Source organism: Homo sapiens, chromosome 2, assembly GCF_000001405.40.
Source record: "Homo sapiens chromosome 2, GRCh38.p14 Primary Assembly".
Lineage (NCBI taxonomy): Eukaryota > Metazoa > Chordata > Mammalia > Primates > Hominidae > Homo > Homo sapiens.
The window spans coordinates 185,914,483-185,923,101 of NC_000002.12; the positions used below are offsets into that span (position 1 = coordinate 185,914,483).

An 8,619-nucleotide genomic window follows, 5' to 3' on the forward strand; every position below is an offset into this window, starting at 1 on the left:
CTGTTGTCTTTTCTCCTAAGGCAAAGACAATATATACTCATATATATATATGAGTATATATATGTGTTGTGTTTTCTATTTTCTCATATTATTTAATATTTTATACATCTGTTTGCTTTACTGTAATTCATATGTATGTGTTCTGCCACAAAAGATATTCCCTTCAGCACAAAGACAAAATATGGAAATATGAATGTTATTGTTCCTGCTTTCTAAAGCTTATAAAACCAAAATAGCAGACCACCACTCCAATACCTTGTTCTACTACATGCCTCAATAGGCATCCAGTCTATCAATCAATCAATCCAGCTAGCTATCATCTACTTACCTATTTATCTATCTGTACACACATAATTTATGAAGTTCTTCTTCTTAATTTATTTACATATTCCTCTTTCATTCACTCTCCAACTGTTTTCAACTACTTTCCTACTCTTTGTTTTCTTTTAAAACCTTTAATATCTTTTTCTTCTTACTCGCTCTCTGCTTATGACCTTGGTTCCTATTTCATTGATTAAAACGCACACACACACGCACCACCACCACCACCTGGTCTACTAATCGACTCAGATTTGTTCCTATATAATCTGCCTTTCCTCCTTTTACTACGATTAACCTACTTTGGGTCTTATCTAAGGCCAAACACTCCACATGTGCCCTGTATCTAAGGTTATTATACATTCTCAATTTTTCAAGTATAGTCCTGATTTACAGAAGTATTTTGTGTGTATTTATGATAAAAATCTTTCACTAATGTGATTATATATATGAAGTTCAATAAAAGAAAATTTCATTGTTAATGTTTCTTTTCAGGCTATTATCAGTATTTGGGTTTTATTTTCATGGTAATAACTAAAAATGATTTTGTTGTATACAGGAGGGAAATGTCAAGAAATAATCTGCTCTTGGTGTCAAATCCATTAGATACGCCAGTATCTCCTTGTAGAAAAGTCCAGCAATCAATATCCTCTTTTCCATCTATCAGCATGTTTGGACATAGTTGATGTCTTCCTCCTCCTTGCACATTCTTTCCCTCAGAACATCAGTCCCTTAGTATTCTTCCCCATCACCAACCACTGCTGTTTAGTCCATTTTTCTGATGCCTTTTCATCAATCTGATGCCTAACTGCTAAAATGTTTATCTCAGATCTTATCTCTTTTATGTTAATATTTACTCCCAAAGTTATCTCAGGCAGAATCATAACCCTTATTAAGGTATAACTTTTAAAATGTTAAATTTATCACTCTGAATCATTATTAAAATAGACAAACTCCTAGTCAGACTGATCAAGGAAAAAAGGGACCAGACACAAATAGCAATGTTATCAATACAAACAACAGTTGAGAGAATCTTACTACAGATACTTATAGAAATTAAAGGATGATAGTTAAATATTATGAAGAAATGATTCCAGTAAATTTTATAATGTAAATGAAATGGACAGATTACTTGAAATATACAACCTATCAAAAGTCTGGGAAAGAATGCAATAATTTGTGCTTGCCTCAAGCAGCTCCTCTCGTATTCCAGCGCCAACCACTGAGCAAGGCTCCCTATTCTTTCTTATGAGCCCCCAGTGACAACACTGAAAAGAATTTGCCAAGTGATTATGAACTTTTCCTATGTCTGGAGCCCCAAGTCAGACTGAAATACTAACCCACACATAACATTTAAGAATCTGTTAAAATTATAATTTGAGGACTAAATTCTGACTTTTTTCTTTTTCTCTTGCCCAAATTCCTATATAAGGGGCCTGGGAGTCACACCCTACAAACCATAAAATCTCATTAGACAGATTTTCACTAACCTTTTATGATGTGTCTTATTTTCCAGCCTCACTCTTATTTAGTATCACGTGACAGCAGACCCTGAAGGAAATAAAAATAATTTCCCCAAAATATATTTTTGACATGTTTGAAAATGGCTGCCACAGGGCCAACAGATTGAAATGGTCCTGCAAAGCTGTCTTTTGTCGGGGGAATGTGCATCTGTAGAGCATCTATATTAATGTAGCTACATCTTTTCTCTCCTGGGCCTTTCCTGGATCTAAGAGAGATTAACTGAGAGCCTGATACCTTCAAAATCTTAAAAGAAACATTTACCATCTATTCTTTCGGAGGGCTGCTACCTATGAAGCCCCACCTACATAACAAGAACCTTGAGCTCCAAAATTCCCTTAACTCAGGCAATCTTTTTTTTTTTTTTTTGAGACAGGGTCTTGCTCTGTTGCCCAGGGTGGAGTCCAGTAGCATAATCGTGGCTAACTGCAGCTTCAACCTCTCAGGCTCAAGTAATCCTCCCACTTCAGCCTCCCAAGTAGTGGCATGTACCACAGGCATGTACCACCATGACTAATTTTTTAAATTTTCTGTAGAGATAGGGTCTCCCTATGTTGCCCAGGCTGGTCTGAAACTCCTGGGTTCAAGTGGTCCTCTCACACTGGCCTCCCAAAGTGCTGGGATTACAGGCATGAACCACCAGGCCCAGCCTCAGGTACTTCTTTCTACTGATTTCGTCTTTAGACAGTAGCTTAACACTCAACCAACTGTCAGCTAAAGAATTCCTAAAACCCACTTATGACTTGTAAGCCCCCACTTTTAGTTGTCCCACCTTTTCAGGCCAAACCAATGTATACTTTCCATGTATTGATTTATGGTTGTACCTGCAATTCCTATTTCTTTGAAATGTATAAAACCAAATTATAACACAAACACTTCAGGCACACTTTCTAAGGACCTCTTGAGATTGTGTAAGCCAGCCTCAGTCACTCATATTGATTCGTAATAAACCTCTTTAAATATATTTTGACAGAATTTGGTTTTTCCATTATCAAAAGAATTTTTCTCACCTGTTTTTATGACAGCCCAGTCTTTTTCACATGTTCTAACAAAGTTGAAATAATATGTTTGTCTTGTCTTTCTTTGGAGGGGCCTGCCATTCTGTGAAACTCAGATTACCTAGTGACATCAGATCTCTGATGGTTTTTAAAAACAAACAAACAACAACAACAACAAAAAAAAAAACAGAAAAAAACAAAACCCTCATCTCACTCTGTCACTCAGGCTGGAGTGCAGTGGCAGGATCACAGCTCACTGCAGCCTCAACCTTCCAGGCTCAAGGGTTCCTCACACATCAGCCTCCTGCATAGCTGGGACTACAGACACGTGCCACCACACCCAACTATTTTTCGTTTGTTTGTTTTTTGTAGAGATGGGGCTTAATGATATGATTTTTTACATTGTTTGGATATTTTTTCTCTTTGTTTAGGATGACAATGATGTTCTCTCACAGTTTTCTGTTATTGCAGCTCAGAAACTGATACCCAAAAATAGGGTGTTTTGACATATGGAACTACAGAAGCCTCAAGGTCCTTCTGAAGTTCTCACCCTAGTCTTTCCCAAAGCACAGAATAAAGTTGCTCTCTGAAGTTCTTTTATCTGCCTGAAATACAGACTCACCAAGAAAAACAATTATTTTTTTCTTCCCCTTTCTGTTATCTCATTATCTTTTGCAGAAAAGAAGACCAAGAATGTAACTACACCTTAACAGATCCTTTCTCAAGATAAGCCTGTCTCTCATATTCATTCAAATTCCCAAAGAATTATTTACCAATTAATCTCTGCTTCCCAATTCATTCATTCTTCCTAGTAATCACTTATTGCCCCCCAAAAGAATTCCTCTTCTTCCCCTTTCCATAACCTGTTAGCCAGGATGGTATATAAGCTTCTGAACTCCTTTGTGGAGGTAAGTAATCATTCTGTGATTCTTCCCCTGTAAACACATTAAATAAATTAACATGCCTTTTCTCCTATTAATCAATCTGCCTCACACCAGTAATTTTCAAACCTCCAGGGAACCAAGGGCCTTGGTTCCTACGCTATATTTAAGCACAAGTCAAAATCCTTCCAGAGTCTTTTTAAAATTATATAAATTTTATAAATGCTTGAATTGCTTAACATTTACATTTGCTCTTGTTTTAAAATTTGATTCTTTTTTCTTAAAGAATTTTCAAATAGAAATAGAAATACAGATTTGGTAGTCTCAAGTCGTTTCACTCTCTTGCATAAAACTTTTCAAAATACAAACTTCTCAACATATGTGTTGTCCCTGCACTGCCTATTGCTCTGTTGTTTCCCTCAAGACTCAGTAGATGCTGTTTCCTATACCTAAGTTCCTCCCTTGCATTCACACCAGCTAATTTTTTAATTGTTTTTTTTTCCTTTTCAAGTTTAATTTTAGATTGCAGAGGTACATGTGCAGGATTGTTTCAGAGGTATATTGCATGATGCTAAGTTTTGCAGTACAATCAAACCCATCACCCAGGAAGTGAGCATAGTACCCAATAGGTAGTTTTTCAACCCTTCATCCCCTCCCTCGTGCCCACTTCTTATATTCCCCAGCATCCATGTTCCACATGTTCATATGTACTCAGTGTTAAGCTCCCACTTGTAAGTAAAAACATGCCATATCCGATTTTCTGTTTCTGTGTTAGTTCACTTAGCATAATGACCTCCAGCTGCACCCATGTTGCTGCAAAGGACATGATTTTATTCTTTTTTATGGTTGCATAGTATTCCATGGTGTATATGTACCACATTTTCTTTACCCAGTCCACCACTGGTGGACACCTGGGTTGATTCTGTGCCTTCGCTATTGTGAATAGTACTGAAATCAACACATGGGTACCTGTGTATTTTTGGTAAAATGATTTATTTTCCTCTTGGTATACACCCAGTAATGGGATTGCTGGGTTAAATAGTAGTTAAACTCTTAGTTCTTTGAGAACTCCAAACTGCTCTCCATGGTGGCAGAACTAATTTACCTTCTTACCAACAGTGTAGAAGCATTCTATTTTCTCTGCAGCTCTGCCAACATCTGTTATTTTTGACTTTCTAACTACAGCCATTCTGACTCATATGAGATGGTATCTCATTGCAGTTTTGATCTGCATTTCTCTGAGGATTAGTGATGATGAGCGTTTTTTTCATATGTTTGTTGACTACTTGTATTTCTTCTTGTGAGAAGTATCTATTCATGTCCTTTGCCCACTTTTTAAGAGGGTCATTTGTTTTTTGTTGTTGATTTGTTTAAGTTTCTTATAGATTCTGGATATTAGGTCTTTGATAGATGCACAGTTTGCAAGTATACCTCAGATTAATTCTAATTATTTTAGGGTGCTTTCTCTGGCTATACTATCAAAATGATCACCCCACTCCCACTTTTGCTACTCATTCACCAAACATCTCCACTCTTCCATAAAAGCACCTATATAATTTTCTACTCCCTGGAATTTCTTTTATTGTCTACAGAAAGTCTACTGGTGATAGATTTATTTAAGAAAGTCTTTATTTTACCTTTCCTTCTGAACAATAATTTCACTGGACATGGAATCCTAGATAGGCATAATATTTTCTTTCAACACTTTATTTCACTTTCTTCATGTTTGCATGGTTTCTGATGAGAAATCTGTAATTCTTATCCTTATTCATCTGTACATAAGATCTCTTTTAAAAATTTTCAATTTTTAATTTTTGTGGATACATAATATTCATATATATATATTTATGGGGTATATGGGGTATTTTGATATAGGCATAAAATGTATAATAATCACATCAGGGTAAATGAGGTATCTATTACCTCAAGCATTTATCCTTTGTGTTACAAACAGTACCCTCTGACTTCTTTGAAAAGTTTGTCTTGTGTTTTCTGTATTATGAATATGCTATACCTAGGTGTAGAATTTCTGGTATTTATTCTGCTTAATTTATTCTGAGCTTCATGGAACTGTGCTTTGGTGTCTGTCATAAATTTTGGGAAATTCTCAGCCATTATTATTTCAAAATTTCTTCTATATTGTCTCATTCTCCTTTTTATATGTTATACCTTTTGTCATTTTCCACAGTTCTAAGACATTCTGGCTTGTGTTCGTTTTCATTCTTTTTTTTCTCTTTACTTTTCAGTTTGGGAAGTTTCTGTTGACCTATTCTCAAGCTCACTGACTCTTTCCTCATTCATGGTTAGTCTAATAATGAGTCCATTAAAGGCATTTTTAAATTTCTGCTACACTGTTTTTGAGTTCCAGCATTTTCTCTTTCTTTTCTTACAGTTTTCACTTCTCCACATAAAATAATAATTGTTCTTCAATGTTTTCTACTTTTCCCATTTGAGCCTTTAACATATTAATTATAGTTATTTTAAAGTCCATGTCTACTAATTCCAACATCCGTGTCATAGCTAAACTCAGTTCTTATATTTGCTTTATATTTTCAGATTACATTTTTTCTTGCCTTTAATATGCCTTGTAAATTTTTTGTTGAAGTCAGTCATGATATATTTGAGCAATATGAAGTATAGTAACTAAATGTTTAGTATGAGGTTTCCTGTTAATCTGGGACTTTGGCTTTGTTTAATGTGTTTGCTGTGATTACAATTTCAACTTCCTCTACTGTCCTCGTTTTTGTTTTCTTCCTTGGCTTTGGGCTTCCGTACATGTTCCTCTATCTTTCAGCTTTTTCAGCTGAAAGCCAATGTTGTAATACTGGAGCTCCGTTGGTGTGGTAGCAAGGTACGTGAGAGGAGATGTATTGTATAACTTATAAATCACTTTTGGTTTTTTAGTGGGTCCTTGAATCTAGTCTGTGATGCCCCCTCAAATGTTTGTTACTTCCTCCACTTTTTGGCAATGGGAAGGCTAGAAGGGGCTGAGTGGGAGAAATACGCTGTGAGATACCACTCTGGTAAGATCCTCTCCCCTGGAGAGTAGGTATTTGCTCCTCTCCCCTGGAGAATGCTCCAGGCACATTTCTCAATTGTTAATCTTCCCCAACCTCTATAAGAGTTAAGATGAGATCTTTCCTGGCTCTTCAGTGTAAAAACCTAGTGCAGTAGGAGAAGCCACACAAAAGTGTGGGCCACCTTGGAGACTATAGCTTCCAGGAGCTTCTCATTCTCACAGTAATCCACATTAAGCGTCAAGAAGTTTGTCAAAATTACTTAAGTGTTCCTACCAGTTTATGGCTCCAGCAGCTTCTCCCCCAGGTAAGGAGATCTCAGCTGTGACTCACTAGATTTGTGCATGTCTCCAGATTATGGGGTGGCAGTTTGCCATGAAATTTCAGTTCTCTCATAGGCCTTAGAAAAGCATTGGTATTCTGTTTGTTTAGCTTGTTTCTTGTTATAAGGATAAAAGTGACAACTTCCAAACTTTTTATTATTATTTTTATTATTATACTTTAAGTTTTAGGGTACATGTGCACAATGTGCAGGTTAGTTACATATGTATACATGTGCCATGCTGGTGTGCTGCACCCATTAACTCGTCATTTAGCATTAGGTGTATCTCCCAATGCTATCCCTCCCCCCTCCCCCCACCCCACAACAGTCCCCAGAGTGTGATGTTCCCCTTCCTGTGTCCATGTGTTCTCATTGTTCAATTCCAACCTATGTGTGAGAACATGCGGTGTTTGGTTTTTTGTCCTTGCGATAGTTTACTGAGAATGATGATTTCCAATTTCATCCATGTCCCTACAAAGGACATGAACTCATCATTTTTTATGGCTGCATAGCATTCCATGGTGTATATGTGCCACATTTTCTTAATCCAGTCTATCATTGTTGGACATTTGGGTTGGTTCCAAGTCTTTGCTATTGTGAATAGTGCCGCAATAAACATACGTGTGCACGTGTCTTTATAGCAGCATGATTTATAGTCCTTTGGGTATATACCCAACTTCCAAACTTTTAATGTTAGAGCTGAAACCAGAAGTCCTTATTATTTATTTGTACATTTATCATTTTTATATTTTCCCCTCCCCAAAGTATAAATTTCATGACCACAAATATTATTTGTCTTCAAATTAAACCTAAGTAGTAGCACAGTTTCTGGAATATGGTAGATAATTAATATTTTTGAATTAATAAAAATTTACTATTGCATTTTAAAAAAGCATTTCAGGAAGACAGTATATTCTCTATTGTTGTTATAACTTTGTAAAAAAATAAATATTTGGTCAAAATTACATTTATTGATTTAAAAAAACCCTAATTTCTTTCACTGCTGCCACAGTGATGATTCTTTTATATGTGTGTGCAGCAAACAATCTTGTAATTGGATATTATAAAGTAAAATGTAAAGCTTTAGAAAAAGGCATTATCTTATAAAAGTAACAATATTTGAAAATCAGCAATTAATATACAAGGAAATTAAAAATTAAATTGTTAATCTACTCCTTCAAAAATCAGAGTAAGCAACTATTATGGAAAAACCCCTCATGTTCTTTAATCATCTCTCATAGGATATTAAATGAAACAATTATAAAGGCTTTATTATAACAAATTATAAATGGTTTCAAAATGAACCAAAAAATGAAAGTTACAGGATTTTCCATATAAATCAAGGTCTTTTTATTTCTGAAGTAAATAGCTGGATCCACTCTAAATTTTAAACTATGTTTAATTCTACTTCACCGAACAATTATCTACTTTTGAGAGACAGTAAACCTCTATTTGTGGAATAAATTTTAAAGTGTATAATCCTAATTTCATACCTGATGTTCACTTCAGCTGACTGATTTACACAGATATTCTAATATCTTGAAGCTAAATTTTCTAAGTAC

General features: G+C 35.4%; 1 annotated feature.

Annotated features, from left to right (window-relative positions):
* Positions 2,271 to 2,372: a silencer, noted in NCBI's record as "fragment chr2:186781480-186781581 (GRCh37/hg19 assembly coordinates)". NCBI's record gives its function as "represses an EF-1alpha promoter that drives an FKBP-Casp9 reporter gene in an ReSE screen in phorbol 12-myristate 13-acetate-treated (for megakaryocytic differentiation) K562 erythroleukemia cells {active_cell/tissue: K562(+PMA)}" and the evidence as "EXISTENCE:reporter gene assay evidence [ECO:0000049][PMID:32094911]".